The 22,618-nt window shown below is 44.6% G+C and overlaps 1 protein-coding gene, 1 non-coding gene and 2 pseudogenes across 3 annotated transcripts in view, besides 2 other annotated features; 3 read left to right on the top strand and 1 right to left on the bottom strand.

Moving 5' to 3' along the window:
• The window catches only part of ESPNP (espin pseudogene), a 28,940-nt pseudogene extending 28,335 nt beyond the window's left edge, over window positions 1–605 (top strand). Inside the window, exon 11 of the transcript NR_026567.1 lies at window positions 529–605. The product of NR_026567.1 is annotated as an espin pseudogene (transcript). The remainder of the gene's footprint in view (window positions 1–528) is intronic.
• EIF1AXP1 (EIF1AX pseudogene 1) lies at window positions 5,574–8,732 on the top strand (annotated as a pseudogene).
• On the top strand, window positions 13,482–13,552 carry TRG-CCC4-1 (tRNA-Gly (CCC) 4-1). Its single transcript has one exon. It is a non-coding gene; the product is annotated as a tRNA-Gly (tRNA).
• Window positions 14,744–14,893: a silencer, noted in NCBI's record as "silent region_335". NCBI's record gives its function as "represses an Ori minimal core promoter by ATAC-STARR-seq in GM12878 lymphoblastoid cells {active_cell/tissue: GM12878}" and the evidence as "EXISTENCE:reporter gene assay evidence [ECO:0000049][PMID:35858748]".
• Window positions 14,924–14,973: an enhancer, noted in NCBI's record as "active region_270". NCBI's record gives its function as "activates an Ori minimal core promoter by ATAC-STARR-seq in GM12878 lymphoblastoid cells {active_cell/tissue: GM12878}" and the evidence as "EXISTENCE:reporter gene assay evidence [ECO:0000049][PMID:35858748]".
• On the bottom strand, window positions 18,311–19,317 carry LOC124903857 (FAM231A/C-like protein LOC102723383). The gene has a single exon (XM_047436909.1). The coding sequence runs from the start codon at window positions 18,818–18,820 to the stop codon at window positions 18,311–18,313; it is 510 nt and encodes a 169-aa protein (XP_047292865.1). The 5' UTR covers window positions 18,821–19,317.
• Between the last annotated feature and the right edge of the window lie 3,301 nt (window positions 19,318–22,618).

Raw genomic sequence — 22,618 nt, 5'->3', positions numbered from 1 at the left:
ATAAAACTGTTTGCTGTAAACTGCCTATGTTGGACACCACACCTGCCCCTGATGTCATTGCAGCCCCACGATTGTAGAGCACGTATCCACTCTGTTGGGAAGAGGGCAACCATGGGCTGAAGGTCCTTCTCAGGGGAGCCAGGGGCAGCCTGAATCTCCCTGAGCCAAGAGGCTGGGTGGGGGCCCGCATCTGCGTCTGCCCAGAGATCTTGGACCTGTGGCCATTGGCCACCTGCCCCTGTGGGGAATCAGGCTCAGGACCTCTGGGTCCCGGCTACTTTTTCTCTGCTTCTGTCCCACTCAGCTCTGATCTCTCTGGTGCCTCCTGTAGGACACAAGGGTCTGGGTTACTAGGAGAAAGGAGGCCAGCTCTGAGGGGGTGTGACCAGGCACCTCCATCCACTTGTCCCACAGAAATGCATCCAAAGGGTCACTTCCTGTGACCCTGACTCCTTCAGGTCCCCAGGTTGAGGGTGCCCCCTATCTCCCAGCCCCTGCAGGCTCTGAAGCTTTGTGGTTGTGTTTCAGGAGGAGGAGGAGGCCCGGCTGGCCAGCATGCCCGCCTGGAGGTGGGACCTCCTGCGGAAGAAGCTGGAAGAAGAGAGGTGAGCCGGCGGTCAGGCAGAGGCTGGCCTGGCAGCGGGTCTTGACTGCGCCCCTGAGGTGGAGGTACCAAGTGACACTGTTTCTCCTTCTAGGAAGCAGAAGCGGTGAGTGCAGGGCTGGCCCCAGCCTGCCACCCTTACCCCCACCCAAGTCGCAGAGGGTCGTCCCTTCATCCAGGCCAACTTGAGTGCATCCTCCTGTCTCTTGGCCCTTGTAGCACAGCCTCCTTCCTCCCTATAATATCCCAGACGGCTGACCCCCAGAATCTCTCTCTCATGCTCTGATAACTTTGTTCCCGGTTACTCAGTCCCTGCCTCCTATTAACCTGGCCTTTTCTACCCTTCAGTTAACCTAACCCCAGTATCAATCACCTTGATTGTCTGGCCCTCAGAATGTACTTTCTGCCCCTAGTCATCTCACCCAGCCCAGTGCTGTCCAATAGAAATGTAATGAGAGCCACAGATGTAATTTAAAATTTTCTAGTAGCCACAGTGAAAATGTAGAAGGATATAGGTGAGCTTAATTTTAGTAGTGTTACTTGACACAAAATATCAAAAATATTATTTCGACACATAATCAATTATGAAAATTACTAATGAGATGTTTTATACTCCTCCTGTAAAAGTAAGTCTTTGGCCAGGCATGGTGGCTTACACATGTAATCCCAGCACTTTGAGAGGCCAAGGCAGGGGGACCACTTGAGTCCAGAAGTTTGAGACCAGCCTGGGCAATGCAGTGAGACCTCATTCTGAAAAAAAAAAAAAATTTTTTTTTTCTTTTTTTGAGATGGGGTTTCACTCTTGTCACCCAGTCTGGAGTGCAGTGGCGATCTGGGCTCATGCAACCTCTGCCTCCTGGGTTCAAGTGATTCTCCTGCCTCAGCCTCCCAAGTAGCTGGGATTACAAGCATGTGCCACCGCACCCAGCTAATTTTGTATTTTTAGTAGAGATGGGTTTCACCATGTTGGCCAAACTGGTCTCAAACTCCTGACCTGAAGTGATCCACCCGCCTCGGCCTCCCAAAGTTGTGGGATTATAGGCATGAGCCATCAAGCCTGGCCTTTTTTTTTTTTTTTTTGAGACAGAGTTTTGCTCTTGTTGCCCAGGCTGGAGTGCAATGGCACAATCTTGGCTCACTGCAACCTCTACCTCCTGGGTTCAAGTGATTCTCCTGCCTCAGCCTCCCAGGTAGTTGGGATTACAGGCGCCTGCCACCACGCCTGGCTAATTTTTGTATTTTTAGTAGAGGCCGGGTTTTGCCATGTTGGTCATGCTGGTCTCGAACTCCTGACCTCAGGTGATCCACCCGCCTCAGCCTCCCAAAGTGCTGGGATTACAGGCATGAGCCTTCACACCAGGCCTACGAAAAAAAATTTTTTTTAATTAGCTGCACGGGGCTGCACACAGTGGATCATACCTGTAATCCCAGCACTTTGGGAGGCTGAAGCGCGTAGATCACCTGAGGTCAGGAGTTCAAGACCAGCCTGGCCAACATGGTGAAACCCCGTCTCTACTAAAAATATAAAAATTAGGTGGGTGTGATGGCACATGCCTGTAATCCCAGCTACTCGGGAGGCTGAGGCAGGAGAATCACTTGAATCTGGGAAGCGGAGGTTGCAGTTAGCCGGGATCACGCCATTTTGTACTCCAGCCTGGGCAACAGAGTGAGACTCCATTTCAAAAAAAAAAAAATTAGCTGGGTGGGCCGGGCTCAGTGGCTCACGCCTGTAATCCCAGCACTTTGGGAGGCTGAGGCAGAATGATCACCTGAGGTCAGGAGTTCAAGACCAGCCTGACCAACATGGTGAAACCCCGTCTCTACTAAAAATACAAAAATTAGCTGGGCATGGTGGCACGCTCCTATAATCCCAGCTACTCAGAAGGCTGAGGCAGGAAAATCGCTTGAACCTGGGAGGCAGAGGTTGCAGTGAGCCGAGATCGTGCCACTGCACTCCAGCCTGGGTGACAGAGCGAGACTCCGTCTCGATTAAAAAAAAAAAAATTAGCTGGGTGTAGTGGCACACACCTGTGGTTCCAGCTACTTGGGAGGCTGAGGTGGGAGGATTACGTGAGCCCAGGAGGTCGTGGCTGCAGTGAGCCATGATCTCACCACTGCGCTCCACCCCGGCAACAGAGCGAGACCCTGTCTCAAATAATAATAATAATAATAATAATAATAATAATAATAATAATAAAACTTAGTCTTGAGATCTTATTGCTCTTATTGCCTGACTAAGGAGGTTCTGGGTAGGGAGTTCATTTTAGATCTGCTTTTTTTGTTTGTTTTTGTTCTCATCAAAAACTACCTTTGCAATCTCATGTTTCTCTTGGGCCCTCTTTAATGGCCTAACTTCTTCAAAGCATGATTTTCTTTTAGTTCCTCAAGGTGGCTTTGGAGAAAAGTCTGGCAACTGTGGAGACCCAGAACCCATCTTTGCCTTGAGAATGCAGAGCTGAAAGAGCAGAAATGTCTGAGGGATGGGAGATTGAGGAAGACAAGGAGAAGGGCAAGGTGGTGGTTGAGACTGTGGTTGCCAAAGAGGGTCTGAGTGAGAGTAGTCTTCAGGCTGAGTTCAGAAAGCTCCAGGGAAAACTGAAGAATGCCCACAATATCATCAACCTCCTCAAGAACAACTTGTGCTGAGTAGCAAAGAAGGGAATAGTAAACTTACTCCAGAGCTCCTTGTGCATCTGACCAGCACCATCGACAGAATAAACACAGAACTGGTTGGTTCTCCTGGGAAGCACCAACACCAAGAGGAGGGGAATGTGACTGTGAGGCCTTGCCCCAGACCCCAGAGCCTTGACCTTGGGGCTACCTTCACAGTGGATGCCCACCAAGTCAATGTAGGCTTAGATGGAATGAAAAACCACTGGAGAAGGGCTCGAGATGACAGTGTTTACTTTAAAACGTTCTCCCATGTGAATCAAGAGGTACCAAGAGAAAGGTCTCTTTGTACCACAAACAACAGTAATAATATTCAGCCTACATTCAGCCTTTAGAAAGCCTTTTACAATATAAATATTTCTTGAGTACTTAATTTTTCAGATAACACACTAGGCATTGGCATGGGGCAATAAAACCAATGGCTGCCCTTGAGATACTTAATATGGTAAGGAAAGATGGCACATAAACAGGTAATTTTAATAGGAGGGGGTAACTGCTGTAACATAGGGATGCATCAGGTTATGAGGCAGCCCAGACAAGTAGTATGTAATGACATCCCTTCCTTATCAATGCCATTTTTTTTTTTTTTTTTGGTCACAGCTCATCACAGGTGTCTGTTCCTGGACCTCAGATGGGTTATTGGGATCCTGTTTAGGGGAGGAGCCATGCTGAAGATTCAGTAAAATGGGGAATACAGGGGATTCTGAGAGAATCGATGGCACAGAATGTGAGGGGAGATGAGTGGAGGGTTCCACCCCTTCTCTTTTTGACCACTGAGAAAACGTTTCCTAAGAGCTCCTCTGTAGACTTGATTGGCGCTGTGCTGTGTGCTGTGGATACAGATATGAAGAAAACATTATCCCAGCACTCCAGGAGCTCCATCTGGAAAGCAAGTCACTGCCAAATGGCATGAGAAGTGCTGTGACAGACTTGAGTAAAGTCCACGGGGTTCACAACGGGCCGTGGTCATCACTGCATGGGGGTGGCCTCGGACTGTCCTGATCCTTGTCTTGGCCCCTTTCACAGTTGGAGAACCAGTCCCAGCCTTGTGACACTGGGCCCAATCAGCGTTTAGCCCACCAGGGTCCACCCAGCACCTGCGCTCCCAGCTGTCACAATGCAAACAACGCTATCAAGATCTCCAGGAGAAGCTGCTGCTATCAGAAGCCACTGTCTTTGCTCAGGCGAACGAGCTGGAGAAATACAGAGTTATACTTAGTAGGTAACTATGACTTACTAGTAAAGAACTAGCCTGTACGTCTTATAAGCTCTGTATGTTCTATACAGACATAACGTGGTTATTGAGCACATGAAGTGTGGCTAGTGCAACTTGGACATTTGGTTTTATTTAATTTTAGTTAATTTAGTATAAAGTGGCCATATGTGGCTACTAACTACCTTATTGGACAGTGCAGGTCTAGGTGTCTTGGGACTCTAAATTAGTTCAGCTCCATTCAACATTTATTGAACCCCTGCTGATAAAGCACTTGCCAGCTTCAATGGGGCTGCTAGAGATGAGAGTACACAATCCCTGACTTACAGATACCTTGTCCCAACTAAGGCCTAGGTTATCTGAAGGGGAGATTATCAATGGCAAATGCAGGCTCCTCCTGTGGAAAGAAATTCTGCTTCCTGGAGCTGGTGGTCTCTTCTCCCACCAGTTCAAAGAAGCTTCTCTCGCACTGTGGATCTGCCCTCCCTGCCCCACAAGGTTAGGGTATGTGCCATTGAGGCTGAGGGCATATGTGGGAAATTCAGACATTCTGTAACACCTGCTGTCTCTTCCCACGCAGGTGAACCCTTGCTGAAGCAGGACAGTAAACAGGTCCAGGTGGACCTCCAGGACCTGGGCTATGAGACTTGTGGCCAAAGCAAGAATGAGGCTGAACAGGAGGAAACCACCAGTCCCGGTAAGAGCACAGGGTGTGGGGCTCACCTTCCCTCCCTGGAGTCAGCTATCACATTTGGGTGCTGTTGGCCAATTCCACACCTGACAAGTAGTGGGGAAGAGGAGGACAGGAGGTTAATAGGAGAACTCTTACCCAAAATGAGGCTGCGTATAAGTTTGAATTTCTACAATTAGTTTGTGGCACACTGCTAATAATAATAATAATAATAATAATAATAATAATAATATAAAGTTCTAGCCAACTGATTATTATAGAAATACTAAGGCCTACTTAGAGACCACATGAGGTTTTGGAAACATGCAAACCGTAAGTTAAAAATAATTTTGTTTTGCATTATAAAAGGACTACAACCATAGGGCCACCCACCACATTGAAAACCAGAAGAGCATTTTGCTGCCGCCGAGCGTGGACGCAGGCGGATCTCCGAAGAGCTGGGTCGCCAGCCTCTCCCGCGCACGTTGCCTGGCCTCCAGCACCTACTTGGTCCCGCGCGCTCCCTCGTGTCGCCCCTCGGAGCAGCAGCCGCCGCGGTCGCCGCTACCCGGAAAGAAGTCAGAGACGCCGCGAGGTCGCCGCCACCGCCATGCCCAAGAATAAAGGTAAAGGAGGTAAAAATAGACGCAGGGGTAAGAATGAGAATGAATCTGAAAAAAGAGAACTGGTATTCAAAGAGGATGGTCAGGAGTATGCTCAGGTAATCAAAATGTTGGGAAATGGACGGCTAGAAGCAATGTGTTTCGATGGTGTAAAGAGGTTATGTCACATCAGAGGAAAATTGAGAAAAAAGGTTTGGATAAATACCTCGGACATTATTTTGGTTGGTCTCCGAGACTACCAGGATAACAAAGCTGATGTAATTTTAAAATACAATGCAGACGAAGCTAGAAGTCTGCAGGCATACGGCGAGCTTCCAGAGCATGCTAAAATCAATGAAACTGATACATTTGGTCCTGGAGATGATGATGAAATTCAGTTTGATGACATTGGAGATGATGATGAAGATATTGATGACATCTAAATTGAACTCAACATTTTACATTCCATCTTTTCTGAAGATTGTCCTACAATTTGGATTTTGATCATGACAAAGAAGATTAAAATTTCATTAGCATGAATGCAATTTGTTAAAGCAGACTGATTTGTTTCTAAGATATTTTTGGTTTTTTTAAAACTGATAATAATGCTGAATTATCTTAAGTGAGATGTTAAGCCCACTTTGTTCTTTTAATGTAATGGAGCTTATGGGTAGAAGACCATGTCTACTAATTACAAAAAAAAAAAAAAAAAAAACCATGCATTGCTGCTTTTCCTACCACTTCCAGTAAGAAAATGGGTGTTTTGAAGAAATCATTTGCCTTGTCCTCACGGAATCTGATTAAGCCCTGGCCTCTTGATTGTATAGAGTCATTGTGTATATTCCAGTTACCTAGATATTCCCTTGAGATTTTGATACAATTTGAGGGAGGCAGAAGTCTGCATTTGAAGAAAAAAAATAAGTCTGTTTGTCATATTTAAGTAGCCTGTGGCTATTTTTATACTGATTTTGATATCATGTTCTTTTCATAGTCGTATTTTGCCACCGTAAACATAAAAAAAAAAAAAAAAGATTTCCAAAATGCCGTTTTCAGAACCTGGGTTTTAATAGCAGTATTGAATTTGTAAGCTTAGTAGTTGCAGAAATTGAACACTAGGTGGCACTCAGTTATCTTAACAGGGGAAGTACTGATATAATTGTTGACTTTTCTTTTACTATGTGTAAGAAATACCCCAAACATGAAAAGATTGTTTTGATCATATGCATGTATGTAGAATATTTTTGCAGAGCAGAAAGATTATGTTAGAAGTGTGATTTTTATTTTCAGAAGTCATATACATGTAAGCTACAATTTTGAGTGCTTTATAAACACTTAAGATATATATATAAATTTTAATTTCATAGCAACTTGTAAAAAATAAAATACTTGTTGAAAAGCCTTTTTCAACATATCCCTAAGCTAAGGGAAGAGGAAGGAATAACAACTCAGTGAAAAGATGGTCTCCAATTTCTGAATGAAAAAGCTACAGCTGAGAAATAAAATAAAATGTCATGCTGCAGAATATGTTATACCCTTATTTTGTGTTAAGGATATATTTTATTATGCGAATGGTTTTGTTTTTGTTTTTTGTTTTTGTTTTTTGCTTGTATTGGGAATTAGCTTTACTGGTAACTTCCTTATTTAGTTTTTAGTGGTCAACTCTAATAAAATGAAACTAGGGCTGAGCTAGTTAGCCCTCACTAGCCAAACTGAAACTGTATGCAACATTAAAAGAAGAGATCCATCATGTAGCTTGTGACACTTTTATTTTATTAGTCACCGGGGAACTTTTCAGTGATGAAAATACACAGGGTAATAAACCTTCACATGGCTTCAAAAGGAAAACAAGCAAATCTTCTCTAATCTACTCTTACTATAATTTCCTAAGTGTACACCAAACTCTGGATTTAAAAATCTGAAGTACTATAGAACATTAAGTTGAAGAATGGAAATTAAGAGTACATATTCATGGTTTATATTTCTTACTCTATGGAGTTCGTGAACACATCTAGGTGGAATGCATCTGAGACTAAGGGCTGGTTTTTAATCCTCATAAGAAACCAGCCTTGAAGAATTAACAATTCTCTTCATTGGTATTCTAAACCTCCTAAGATATTTAGGCTTCTGTACATAAAAGTGTTTTTGCTAAATTTACAGTATATATAGATCCTTTCATATTATTTTACTAAGAATGTTTGAACTTTGCATATTTGACATAGTTCCTGGTAGGAATAGCACAGCTCAAACATTAGTTTTTCTACTTACCTCCTCTAACACGTGGTTTGTCTGGAGAGTTTCTAAAAATTCAGCTATAACCCCAGTTCATGTATTTACTGGTGATTGTTCTTGCTGAGGTAGTAACAGCCCAATCTTGGGCTGTTAAATCCTAGGAAATCTCGAATCATAGTGATTAAAATAGTTGGGGTAAAGTTGTAGCTTATATGCAATACTACTTGGAGGAATTCTTTTACTAATTTGTATTTAATGTGGAAATTGTATAGTTTCATTGATTTAATCATAAATAATGGAAATGGTCTTCAAGAAGTTTTATTTCATTTTTTTGCTTATACACTCTGATTCCTATAATACAGTGCTATAAGCTATGCACAGAAAATAAAATGTTTGAAATCCAAGAATAATGGTTCTTACTGCTAAGAGGGAGTAATAGTTATTACTAATGATTTTGATTGGGTTGCATTTTTGTTGCAATGTTTATTCCACTTGCAGTTAGAATATGAATATGTTTTATCACTAATGTGGCTAAATAACCAAACATTTGTGTAAAAAAAAAAAAAAAAGCCAAGATTTCATTGTTTGTTGAATATTTCTTAAGCATCTAGCCCCTAAAGAGACTGCTTCTTACCAAGCCTGTAAACTATGCATGATGGAAATTCTTGTATTTTATTTAGGAATGGCTGTTGGTTTACTTACCACATCTGTGGAATCATGGCTATAAATGTTTGCTTACAAACTAAAAAAAAAAAAAAAGAAAACCAGAAGAGAAGAAAAACACAGTCTCTCTCATTCTTGAGGAAGTGTAGTGTGGCAGTTAAGAGAAAAGATCCTGGGGCCAGACTTGTTGCTTCAAATCCCAATTTGTAAACTTTCCTATGCCCCAGTTTCTTCATATGTTAAAATAGTAATAAAGGAACTACCTACCCCATCAGATACTAATGTGAATTAAATGAGTAAATTCTTATAAAATGCTTTAGAACAGTGTCTGGCATCAGGTAAAATGCTGTGGATTAGTTCTCATTCTGACTACCACTGCCCCAATACACTGATGTTAACATGCTGATATATTTATTCGAAGTCTTATTTTCCTATGCCTATTTTTCACACAGTGGTAACCCAATAAACTTTTAAATTATAGTAAACTTTAGAGAGCATTAAACTTGCAGCATGCAGAAATAGCTTGTCCTGCGTTCTTGTGGCTATCCTAACTAGATAAGGCCATGTTAATGGCTTGAGAAACATCAGTGTGTGTGGAATGAACACAGGACGTTGGAGGATTTGAATTCAGGCTCTGCCATGTGCTAGTTTGAGTGATCTAGAACAAGCTGGTTTACCACCTCTCTTTAAGTTTTGGTTTCCCCAGTCAGTAAAATAGAAAGTGGTGAAACCTAACTTGTGGGTATAAGGAGGATAAGAAATACTGTATTTGAATGCCTAGTACAGTGTCAGGGTTGAATAAAGTACGACTTCACCTTATTCCCTAGTAATTATTGTCCTCATGACCAAACCTGCCTCCTCTCAAAGGCAGTGGCCACAACAGCACATCCAACTTTTATTTAGGAAGACATCTTTGTCTTTTTTCAGAGCATGAGGAGCACAGCAGCCGCAAGGAAATGGTCCTGGTGGAGGGGCTGTGCTCTGAGCAGGGGCGCCGGGGCTGAACGCTGGCTAGTTCCTCTGAGAGGAAGCCCTTGGAGAATGAACTAGGGAGGCAGGAAGAGTTCTGGGTATATGGAAAGTCAGAAAACATCTGGGTCCTATGAAAGGACATCAAAGATCTGAAGGCCCAGCTGCAGAATGCCAACAAGGTCATTCAAAACCTCAAGAACCGGGTCCAGTCCCTCTTGGTTACAAGTGATTATTCATCTAGTCTGGAAAGACCCTGGAAGCTGAGAGCTCCTGACACCCTGGAGGGGTCTTCACCTCATAGTGTCACTGATGAGGATGAGTTGTGGCTGTCTGATGGCACTGGGGCTTTCTACTCTCCAGGACTTCAGGCCAAAAAGGACCTGAAGAGTCTCCTCCAGAGAGTATCCCAGCTGGAGGCCCAGCTCCCAAAAAATTTATCTAGGGACATATAATTAACATATATATAACAGTTGAAGAACAGTGGCATGGTAAATTTTTGTTTTGTTTTGTTTTGATACAGAGTCTCACTCTGTCACCCAGGCTGGAGTGCAGTGGTGCCATCTCGGCTCACTGCAACCTCTACCTCCCAGGTTCAAGCAATTCTCCTCCCTCAGCCTCCCAAGTAGCTGGGATTACAGGCATGTGCCACCATGCCCAGCTAATTTTTGTGTGTGTTTTTAGTAGAGGAGGGGTTTCACCATATTGGCCAGGCTTGTCACGAACTCTTGACCTATGATCTGCCTGCCTCAGCCTCCCAAAGTGCTGGGATTACAGGCATGAGCCACCACGCCCGGCCCATACTAAAATTTTTAGTGCGATACTTTATCAGGGTAGAATTTGCTGTTAAATGCCTCCTATGGCTTATGTGCCAGAATTCAGTTTGGGGGAGTTCCTTAGAGATGTTCTCATAGAAATCTCTACAGAAGCCCCCATAACTTATCATCCACCCTTTCCTCTTCTGTCCTGCATTAGGAAATATGATTCCCTGATTCAGGATCAGGCCCGGGAACTGTCTTACCTACGGCAAAAAATACGAGAAGGGAGAGGTGTTTGTTATCTTCTCACCCAGCATGCAAAAGATACAGTAAAATCTTTTGAGGATCTCCTAAGGAGCAATGACATTGACTACTACCTGGGACAGAGCTTCCGGGAGCAACTGGCCCGGGGAAGCCAGCTGACAGAGAGGCTCACCAGCACACTCAGCACCAGTAAGTTGGCCACAGGGCTTTGGATACTCTCAGTCACCCCACAGTTCCAGCCCCTGGTGGCCACCACATCTCCACTGCAACTTTTTAACGTAGGGTCCTGTTTCTATTTCATTTCCTGGGGCTAATATAGGATCAAGACTGCTCAATGGGGAGCATGGAGAGGAACACACAGGGCTGGAGATGCCATGGTTACAACTCTAGAAACTTCACCACTCATGGAATGTGACCTGTGGGGCAGGGGAGACATCTCTCTGGTGCTAAGAGGGAGTAGGGGACATGACATGGAAGGGCCTTGTTATAGGAGGAAGAGCCGTGAGCTAAGAATTGCAAGACATCGAGGCGCTGAGGCCAAAGGGTCCGTGAGGAAACAGGCGCAGCTCACGCCCCTCGGCCTACGGGAGGGAGGGCAAGGAGGGTTCTACGGTTCCTGGGAGGACGAGAAGAGCCAAGAGCCCCGACGGCCGGCGCCGGGGAAAAGGCCCCGAGGCGGGGTCCGCATCCCTGGAAGGGCGGCGTCCACCCTCCTGAGAGGCACGGGGCGCCCAGGGCTCGGAGGCTCAAAGCCCGCCGGCTCCTGCAGCTTCTGGGAGCCGAAGAGTGTCAGCCGGGAGGATCCCGCACACGGCGCTTAGTTCTGGAACTGCATACCCAGGGGAGGATGCGGGAGCCCGAAGCCCGGGTATGTGTCCCCGAAGCCCGGGTGTGGGTCCCCATGGTTTTCGTGTTGGGGGTGGGCGCGGAACGCTAAGCCTGGGCCTATTGGGAGCCATAGTCTTCTTGATGGCTGGTGCTTATTGGGCTTTTTTCAGTCGAATTTCGAAATGCAGTTGAATTTCTTACTTTGGAAACGATAATAGAAATGGCTGATCTAAGATTTTCATGATGATATTTTGCCTTTTTTGGTGCATATGCAGTTTCTGTGGTGTAGTGGTTATCATGTTCGCCTCACACGAGAAAAGTCCCTGATTCGAGACTGGGTGGGAACGTCGTGGTTTGTTTTTTTTTTTGTTTGTTTGTTTGTTTTTTTGGTCCCTAAATTTTGTGAGTTTAATCGAGGTTGGGAAACAAACAGAAAAGTATTTGAACCTGTGGCTACATTTTAGACCTCCTCAATCTAGACAGATTGTTGACCAGGTACAATTTCCACTGGTCTGCCAGCAAGAGGCCTGCTTAATATTAGCTTTGGTTCCAGAAATTCCTTAAGATTCTCTTTATTCTCTTCTGTCGCCTGAATTTTCACAGGCTGACACTGAAAGTGGATGACATCTTAGCGCATTTCCTAAGGGTCCCGCTTGGTTTGGCTTTACTCTGGTAAGTTGCAGATCTGGCTGATTTGCAAGACAACAAAAACAAAATATTTTTTAAAAAGGTTCTAAATCTGCATCTGGAAGTCATAGAGTCCATATTCCTAAATCACATGAATTATGTATATACATTTGCATGCATACCCCTTCCTCAAATAATCCTCAGAAAACCGGTTAAGTTTTAGCATCTGTGACTCAGATGCATATGAGGCCTTGGTAGATTTAGAAGTTGAGAGTAGAAAGTACAGGTTTGTATTTTAGAAGGAGATTTGGGAATAAATGTAGCTTTGGTTGATATAGATCATATGTTAAGGTTTGTTGGCCAGAGCTGGTGTGTGTCTTGGGTGTTGGGCAAAGAACAGAGAACAGCCAAAGCTCTGCGAGGTCAATGTGAAGGATGATTTCCTTGGTGGGCTCAAGTTTATGACTCAGCCTGGACCTAGCTTGGCTTCTCAGCTTGAGAAGAAGCATGATTCCATGTCACAGCTCCTGTCTTTGAAAAAGTCATAATGACTCCCAGACCCAACATGTGGAGAAAACTCTGGATTTGTCTCTTCAGTTGAATGTCTCCATTGAAAATTGAGGAAAGAAATCTCTCTAATATTTGAACTTCATCAAAAGACTAATATGTTAATATTTGACCGTCAATATTTCCTTAAACTAGTCTACTGCTTACATAGCTAACACATCAAAGCATATTAACTTAGGAAATGGGATTCTCCCAAACAATGAAACATTGACGGCAAGCGTTCTTCATCTTTTCACATCACATTTCCTTCAAATGCTTTATACATCTTCAAGCAGACAAATAATAGTATTATAATGATTACGAGACCGATCATTACTCTTTTGCCAAAAAAAACCAACGACAAAAGACTAACTTAGTGGACCAACCTTTGTTTCTTCATTATCTCTACCGTGGTTCTGTCCTTTTATTTCGTCTTTCTTCTAATTCTGCTTCTGCTTCTTATTTCCTCCCTGGATTTGAACTTTACTTACCTAAACTACCAGTTAGGTTACCTTCTCAGAACCTCTAAGGCAGCAGTTTGAGGTTGATGATGGAAGATTTAGGATTAGAAAAAAGAAACATGAATGAATTTCTGATGTTTTATTATAGGGGTTTGTAATGCAGGTAGAAAGACCTTTTTCAGAGTTAAGAGTTTGATCCGACAAATGAGCTATTTTGATATTTATAACGTTGTCTAATAAAAGTTTCCTATAAAAACACATTTGGTTTGGATGTCTTTGTTAGCTTTTAGTCGACACTTGAAAAAACCGCTTAGAACAGTTTCTAAATCTTTGTGGTTACTCTTTTCTGTTATCCTCCAGGGGGTAGTTCCAGAGAGGCGTTGGTGGTTTAGTGGTAGAATTCTCGCCTCCCATGCGGGAGACCCGGGTTCAATTCCCGGCCACTGCACGTGGTTGTTTTTCACTTCGCTATGGCTCTTTACTTGTCTTTTACGCTGAAAATTATACTGCATAACCCAAGAGTGCATTTAGGGGCTTGGCCACCACAAGGTAAAGTGACAACAACACTCACCAAAGTAGCGGCAGGAGACTAACCCAGGACCCCATGCAGTTGTTGGACTCAAACAGCTTAGCAAGCTGGCAAGCATGAAGTGTCTCTGGTGAGTCACTGCAGTTTTGATACTGGTACCTGTTACTTTCATTTATTCACTGGAAGGATCCCTGCAAACCCAAAGAACCATCAGTTTCCTGATTCGCGTGCTGGACCTTGGGCTTACCGTTGAGCCACTATGGAGAGGATCAAGAAATGACACTCTTGGAAGGAGAGAAGCTGCGGGCAGGACAGTCACCTCAGAGGTCCAAGAGTTGTCATCGGCCCAAAGAAAGGGGAGGTGTGTGGGCAAGAATCTGCGTGGAGATGAGGGGAGCGGCGGAGACTGGTCCTTGCGCAGAGGTGGCCAGTGAACCCTCAGGGCTGTACCCCAGACACCGTGAATCGAATTTGCTCACATCATCAGCGACCGCAGCCCCCGCGTGTTTTGTGGGCCCATCGGTGTTCCGCGAGGGATTCCGTGTGTCTGGCAATGTGTGTCAACAGGTGTTGGCCTGAAATTTGGCCGGGCACGTTGGCACACGCCTGTAATCCCAGCATTTTGTGAGGCCAAGGCGGATGGATCGCTTGAGGTCAAGAGTTCAAGACCAGCCTGGCTAACATGGAAAAATCCCATCTCTACTAAAAATACAAAAATTAGCCGAATGTGGTGGCATGCACCTGCTATTCTTGGGACGCTATACTTGGGACGCTGAGGCAGGAGAATCGCTTGAACCCAGGAGGCAAAGGTTGCAGTGAGCCAAGATCGCGCTACTGCACTCCACCTGGGCGACAGAGCGAGACTCCGTCAAAAAAAAAAAAAAAAAAAAAAGCAGCGAAAGAAGGCAGAGATGTCAATGGGACAAAGAGACCTCCCAGGAGGCTTGTTGTAGAGGCAGTGGCTGGATCCTGAGAGAAGAGATTTTTTTTAAATTATGTAGCAGAATGGGGAGAGAAAGGGAGAAGCACATGAAAGACAGAAAAGCACAAAAATCTGCGGACGTCCTAGAATAAACCAGATAAAATAGTGTGAGTGTTTTTACATTAAAAAAATAGAAGAAGTGCAATGGTTGTCAGCAGACTTTGTGGTCGTGTAGTGGTTAATACTTGTAGTTGTGGTTGCCACAACCTCTGTTCTAATCTGAGTCACAGTAGTGTTTTCTATCCTGCAACTGTGGCTAATAGACCTGTCGTTTGCTTTGCCTTTAATCCTAGCAGCCTCCAGAGAGCACAGGAAACCTCTGGCCCTGAAGGGCGCCAGCTTCTGGAGTTTAGCCCACAGCGCAGAAACTAGGGGGCGGCCTGGCCTATAGGAAAACTTGGACATGCTCTTTGTCTCACAATTGAGCAGGAAACATTCCCGTAGGTGAAGATGCCGCCTCTCAAGGGCCCTCTGTCTGTAGCTTCCAGTGATGAAATAATGCGGTTATAGTCTTTTTCGGTAGAGAAAACGGCTGTATCAGTGGAATTTTTTAAAAACACAAAATGAGAACGAGTTTTTCATGAGTTGACAATAAAATCTAAACTAGTTGTCATGGTTTGCACCGGCTTGCCTCCATTCCCCATCCGCTAATTTTTATGAGAACAGTAAATTATTACTATTATTATTATTATTGAGATGTAGTCTCGTTCTGTCACCCAGGCTGGAGTGCCATGGCTCAATCTCAGTTCACTGCAACCTGTGTCTCCCAGGTGCAAGCAATGAGAACAGGGATCCAGTTTCAGCTTTCAACATATGGCTAGCCAGTTTTCCCAGCACCATTTATTAAATAAGGAATCCTTTCCCCATTTCTTGTTTTTGTCAGGTTTGTCAAAGATCAGATAGTTGTAGATGTGTGGCATTATTTCTGAGGGCTCTGTTCTCCTCCATTGGTCTATATCTCTGTTTTGGTACCAGTACCATGCTGTTTTGGTTACTGTAGCCTTGTAGTATCATTTGAAGTCAGGTAGCGTGATGCCTCCAGCTTTGTTCTTTTGGCTTAGGATTGACATGGCGATGCGGGCTCTCTTTTGGTTCCATATGAACTTTAAAGTAGTTTTTTCCAATTCTGTGAAGAAAGTCATTGGTAGCTTGATGGGGATGGCAGGGAATCTATAAATTACCTTGGGCAGTATGACCATTTTCACGATAGTGATTCTTCCTACCCATGAGCGTGGAATGTTCTTCCATTTGTTTGTATCCTCTTTTATTTTGTTGAGCAGTGTTTTGTAGTTCTCCTTGAAGAGGTCCTTCACATCCCTTGTAAGTTGGATTCCTAGGTATTTTATTCTCTTTGAAGCAATTGTGAATGGGAGTTCACTAATGATTTGGCTCTCTGTTTGTCTGTTATTGGTGTATAAGAATGCTTGTGATTTTTGCACAAGAATTTTGTATCCTGAGGAGTCATTTTTAAAATAAATATATTGCAAATGACTTTTCCCAGTCAGTGAAAAGTCTGACTGAAAGCTGTCAACTGAAAAATCACACAATTTATAAATTTAGAAGGGAGATTTTATTTTTTATAAAGGGTTACAGCCTGCAAGGTGGCCATTCTGACAGACAGGGAGGCATACCCTCTTGCTGCTGAAACCTGAAAAGTACGTTTCCAGGGAGGGGAGGGGGGAACAGGGATTTATGTTGATGTGGTGGGCCACATATACATATTCAACAGGGAATAGGAGGAGCTCTGAATATTCATGAAGGGATCCTGCTGCATGCATGCTGAGTAAACATGCCTGTTACATGCAACCCATGTTCACTTTGGGGTGGAGACAACATTTAAATACATTATAATTAGGCCCTATGCTTCAAAAGGGGAAGCAGGGACACAAAGGCAGTCAAGTGCACAGCCTCTGTAAACCGTCCAGAACCCGTCCACAGCCAGTGCTCTCTTATCAAGGGGAAGTTACTGAAATCAGTCTCTTGTCCAATCAAAGCTGTAGTTATGGCTTGTGTAGGGAGGGCTCAGTCAGTTTATGGTAATGGGTGAGCTGCAAGTGCTTCAGCATTGCTTATCTCAAGGCCAGTGCTTGTTTAGCTAGAGAAAAAAAGGAAGAAGAAAAAGACCTGTGGCAATTAGAACATAGTTTATTCTTTAAGTTGAGGGGCGCATGACTCCACCTTGCCTGGCGTGGCCTTAGGTCTCGTTTATCATACCGTATCTTCCTACTGCAAGGAGTCTGTTCTGTCAGTCTTAGGATCTCTATTTTAACAATAATGCTGGTCAGTTGTGTCTAAACCACAAAGGGAGAGAGTATAAGGAGAGGTGTCTGAGATTCCAACTACTGGGCAGGAACTCAGTATTTAAGACTTCTCTGGGGTCTCCTTGGCCAAGAAGCAGTCTGTCCAGTGGCTTTGGATTTTAATTTTAGTTCTCAAAGCATTTAATTAGATGAAATTTTGCCATATTTTTTCTTTTTTTTTTTTTTTTGAGACGGAGTCTCGCTCTGTCGCCCAGGCCGGACTGCGGACTGCAGTGGCGCAATCTCGGCTCACTGCAAGCTCCGCCTCCCGGGTTCACGCCATTCTCCTGCCTCAGCCTCCCGAGTAGCTGGGACTACAGGCGCCCGCCACCGCGCCCGGCTAATTTTTTGTATTTTTAGTAGAGACGGGGTTTCACCTTGTTAGCCAGGATGGTCTCGATCTCCTGACCTCAGGATCCACCCGCCTCGGCCTCCCAAAGTGCTGGGATTACAGGCGTGAGCCACCGCGCCCGGCCTTTTTTCTTTATTTTTAAAGCCTGTTATGTTCTATAAGAAATCTTTCTACTCAGGATAGTGAATGTATTCTCTTAATTTTATCTCTCTATGAGTTCCAGCGTTTTAGTTTTAATTTTTAAATTGATGACATCTAAAATTCTACTCCTAACCAAAACATTCCTGGGGGTGACCAAGGACAACTCCAAAAATCTTCCATAAATGGAAGTAAGACTTACTCCTTAAAGAACTTACTGGGATCCGGGCCTGCGGGGCACAGTGGCTTTAGTGCACCTCTGCTCTTACGACTATTCAGAAATTGTCTTTGTGAACCCATCAGGCTGTTTCAAAATCAGCAATTTAGGGCTTGCTTGCAACATGCAGTTATGCAGCAGCTGTTTTGTGGATCTGGTGAGTGCCTGCACGCATAGTTCCCTGGGAATTTTCTAAATTTGAATTCTCTTGGTATTTCAAGTGGCTCAGTTGTCTCTTTCTTTTCTTTTCTTTTCTTTTCTTTTCTTTTTTTTTTTTTGAGTCAGAGTCTTGCTCTGTCACCCAGGCTGGAGTGCAGTGGCTGGAGTGCAGTGGCGCGATCTCAGATCACTGCAAGCTCCGCCTCCCGGGTTCACGCCATTCTCCTGCCTCTGCCTCCCCAGTAGCTGGGACTACAGGCACCCGCCACCACGCCCGGCTACTTTTTTGTATTTTTAGTAGAGACGAGGTTTTACCGTGGTCTTCATCTGACCTCGTGATCCGCCCGCCTCGGTCTCCCAAAGTGTTGGGATTACAGGCGTGAGCCACCGCGCCCGGCCAGTTGTCTCTTTCTTTTGCCTACTGCCACACACGTACCACCAAATCCTGCACTCCAAGCTGCTTCTACACCCTGGACTCCCAACCTCCAGTTAGACAATCCACATCTTCCCACACCTGCCTCAGGCTCCATCAGGCTACTGTGCCTCCTGCAGCAACCAGGCCAGGGGGAATCTGGATTCCTATTACACTTCTGAGGAAGGTGGTCAGGGAGTGTGGAGGATGTGGGTGGGAGGGGGTGAGGTTGAGGGCAGGAGTACACTGTGGTCTTCTGTCTTCTACCTCATTGGCCCAGGTGCTGCTCTCCCTCCGGTTGTCTGCTTTCAGCCCTGCCTGGGAAATCAGGCCGGCGCCCTGATCTTCCTGACTCTCATTTTGTGAGGAACCTGAACGGATGAGCCATCGCTCTTGTCCCACACGTTCTGTCCAAAAGGTGCCCTCCTCTCTGCTTGCTCGGGGGCCTGCCCTCTGAGCTCTGGCACTCAGGCTGGGATGCCGCCCAGTACAGAGGCTCTGCAGCCCTGCAGGGGTCTGACTGTTCCACACCAGCAGGATAAAGGCCACAGGGCATGCTGTGGTGGAAAAGCATTCAGAGGTGTGGGCTGAAGGCCTCTCTTTCCACAGTCCCTTTGAAGACACCATGGAAGTAGGCACCCCCTTGACAGACAAGGTGGCCCAAGGCCTGGCTTCACATGCAGGCTCTTGGGTCCCAGCGGGTCCTCTCTGTGCCTGGTATAGCCAACTGCTTCACGCATCTTACCCGGTTTCCTCTCCTCCACAACCCAAGCTCCTCCTCGACCCCCTTGCTCAGCTGTCCTCAGGACAGCAAGATCCCCAGCCCTTGGAAAAGCCCATCTCTAGTGCTTGGGGAGGGAGTTGGGTTCAGGTGGTCTAACCACAGAAGAACAGAGAACCTGAGGCAGGAGGAAATCCCTTCCCTTGCTGGGTCTCTTGGCACAGCCCATCCAGGGGTCTGGGTCAGGGTCCAGGTATACTCTACCCTCCTTGAGGACCTGGGTTTTCAGGCCCCCGAGGTTGGTCAATGTGGAGTCTTTCCCACTGTTCATCTGGGAACTGAAGGAATATCCCATGGGGCCCTCTCTTACTCATTAGAGACACCCAGAAAATACTCCATCCAGCAGAAACTGGGTGCAGTGTACCAGACCACTATAATTATAATTGCAGGATGTGGAGGTCAGATACGTTTTGTGGGTATTTTCTCTCTGTCTGTGGCTTGCTTGCCTTTTCGCTTTCTTAGTGGTATCTTTTGATGAGAAGGTGTGGCTAATGTTGATGAAGTCTCATTTATCATGTCTTTCTTATATATGTATTTTTTCTGTGTCCTGCTTGTTGGTAGGCTAATCTTTGCCTGCCAACAAGTCACAAAGTATCCTTGAAATGCTTTATATCTTTAACTTTTAAGTTTTGGTGTGTAATGCGGCTGAAATTACTTTTGTGTGTAACGTGAGGGAGAATAACATTGTTGGTCTCCCCACATCCATATAGAAGTTCATTAATTGAAATGATTTATTTTCTTTTATTGAACTGCTTTTACTGAAAACCCATTTATTGACCGTATAGCTGTGGATCAATTTCAGGTTTTCTAACTCAGGCTGTTTATCCGTTTGTCACTCTTGATGCCTTGTGTCTGATAGCTTATAGTAAACCTTAAAGTCAGATAGTACAAGTCCTTGTTCTTTTCCACACATTGCAATAAATTTTGAAATAGATAATAACTCATGAAACCATCACACACATCAGGATATGCTGTCACTTCATCCCTTTCTGACATGGTTTGGCCGTGCCCTCACCCAAATCTCAACTTGAATTGTATCTCCCAGAATTCCCATGTGTTGTGGGAGGGACTTAGGAGGAGGTAATTGAATCATGGGGGCGGGTCTTTCCTGTGCTATTCTCCTGATAGCCAGTAAGTCTCACTATCTGATGGGTTTCTCAGGGGTTTCTGCTTTGGCTTCTTCCTCATTTTCTCTTGCTGCTGCCTTGTAAGAAGTGCCTTTTGCCTCCCGCCATGATTCTGAGGCCTCCCCAGTCATATGGAAATGTAAGTCCAATTAAACCTCTTTTTGGTCCTGGACTCTGTTATGTATTTGTCAGCAGCATGAAAACGGACTAATACACTCTCATTTCTGAGTGGGACACATGCTGTCACTCACATATGCTGGTTGCTGACTTGTGACGGAAGATTCTCTATTGTACCCTCTGGGGACAATACATCTCCAGTTGCCTGCGGGGAGGATGAACCCTCAAGAGTCAATGTGTTGACTGACTCTAAATATGGGTTCCTGGTGCTCCATGCTCATGCAGCCATAGGGAAGGAAAGGGGACTATCAAGAGCCAAGGGATCCCCCATACGACTTTACTCAGATCTTGGAACTTTTAGATGCTGTCCAACTCCCAAAGAAATAACAATTACTCACTGCAGGGGACACCAGAAGGGAGACACTTTTATTATTAGAGGAAATTCCCTGGTGGAAAGAGCAGCTAAGGCCACAACTAAGGAAACCCTGGTATTTCAAGCTGCTGCGCTACTACCAGGTACTGCATCCGTGTCAGTGACACCATACTATACCCCTAAGGAAATTAAAGGGACTGAGTAAAAGGCTTCCAGGGAGACCCCTCTGGATGGTTGCTACAAAAGAACAAACTCTATTCCTGAGGCTGACAGATGGGAAATAATTAAACATTTTCATGATTCCTCACATTTGGGACGGGATTTTCCATTCAAATTAGTTTCCTAAATATTCTTCGGGAAGGGACTGTTCTAAACTATAAAAAGGGTTACCACTCAGGAAGCCACCCCATACCCCGATCCCTGCTTAAACCTGTACAACACCAAGGAACATACCATGGTGAAGACTGGCAGACAGACTTAACCCAGATGCCACCTTACAGGGAACTACAAGATTTGCTAGTATTTATAGACACTTTCACCAGGTGGATAGAAGCTTTCCCCACAAGGACAGGAAAAGTACTGGAAGTGTCTAAATTCTTAAAGAAATCATTCCAAGATTTGGATTACCAAAAGGTTTGCAAGGTGACAACTGACCTCACTTCACAGCTAAGGTGACCCAGTGAGGTCATGCCTCAGCCTTAGGCATTACCTGTCTTCATTCCTCATGGAGATCTCAGTCTTCAAATAACATAGAAAGCCAATCGCGACATTAGCAAAACTCTTTCAGTTTGGGGGCTTGCCTGCCCTGCGTCACTATCATTGTTTCCTTGGGTTTCCCAGGAATGTACATGTGTGAGACTGCCGCCCTGCTTATAGATCTGTTTCCCTGCAAGGAAACAGGAATATGTTGCCTGTGGCTTCCAGAGTTGGAGATACATGTAGTTGCACCACTGAGGGCTAACATTTAATTTTGGAATCAAGTGATGCATTCAGACTGGTTGCTATCATTCTGTGGTATATATTTAGTGAACACATTCATGATTGAGTTTCTTGCTTTTAGCTGGAGCAAGAAAGTTTTATAATTGTGATTTGTATGAAAAAATCATAGGCAAGGGAATGGATGTAAAATAAACTTTATTGTCAGAGGTTTCTAAAGGCTCATCCTTCAAGGAAAATGGACATATGCTGAAGAGCTGATAAACTGTCTACAGCAGTGTTATTCTAACCTAATCTTGATTCCAAGTTCTTGCCATTTTCCTCCAGCTACTGTTGACTCCAGTTATATATAGGATGGGGGAAAGGGGATTATCTACGAATGTAGGCATCACTTTCTCTTGGGCAGTTATCACATTGGCAGACTGAAGGGAAGTGATTTCTACAATCAAACTATCCATTTGGAGTACAAATCTGGAGTGGCTGTAAAATTCGGTTCTCAGAGATGAACTTGCAGATTCGGACTTTCAATTGTTCTGTTGTTTTAGTTTTTCTCATCAACTGGGGAACTGTTTGTGACTAAGCTTTGTTAAAAGTAGAGAAGAGCTTTTCATAATTCCAACATTAGTTGTTACCTGAAACAAACAAAAACACACACAGAGACAATTAAACAGTAATCTTTGGTGAGGTCTTGCTGATACCTGAGGCTGGAGTGAGAGCTGAGTGGTGATACAGCTCATGTGCGTGATCCAGATTGCGCACTCCTTATGAGACTGTAACTGATGCCTGATGACCTGAAGTGGAACAGTTTCATATGGAAAACATCCACCACCCCCTTCCATGGAAAAATTGTCTTCCATGAAACCAGTCCCTGGTGACAAAAAGGTTGAGGACAGCCAAAAAGGCTGCTTTAAATGATAACCTTCCCCAAAACTAAATTACCCCTGTAAAATGAATGAAAGGCCACCAAGTTAGAAGGATGAAAGGGGCCTGATTTCTACTAAGATGTATGCCTCGTTAAATAATTACCAGCCATTATTCCAGAAGTCACAAGATTGGCAGCTTCCCCAATTACTGCTGTGAAGAACATCACT

Source organism: Homo sapiens, chromosome 1 (assembly GCF_000001405.40).
Source record: "Homo sapiens chromosome 1, GRCh38.p14 Primary Assembly".
NCBI lineage: Eukaryota > Metazoa > Chordata > Mammalia > Primates > Hominidae > Homo > Homo sapiens.
The sequence above is the reverse complement of the archived record's forward strand: the minus strand, read 5'-3'. Positions and strand labels throughout refer to the sequence as shown.

What these genes read in the sequence shown, in the direction of transcription:
- LOC124903857 (XM_047436909.1), bottom strand. Translation starts at nt 18,820, where the DNA reads ATGGTGTCTTCAAAGGGACTGTGGAAAGAGAGGCCTTCAGCCCACACC.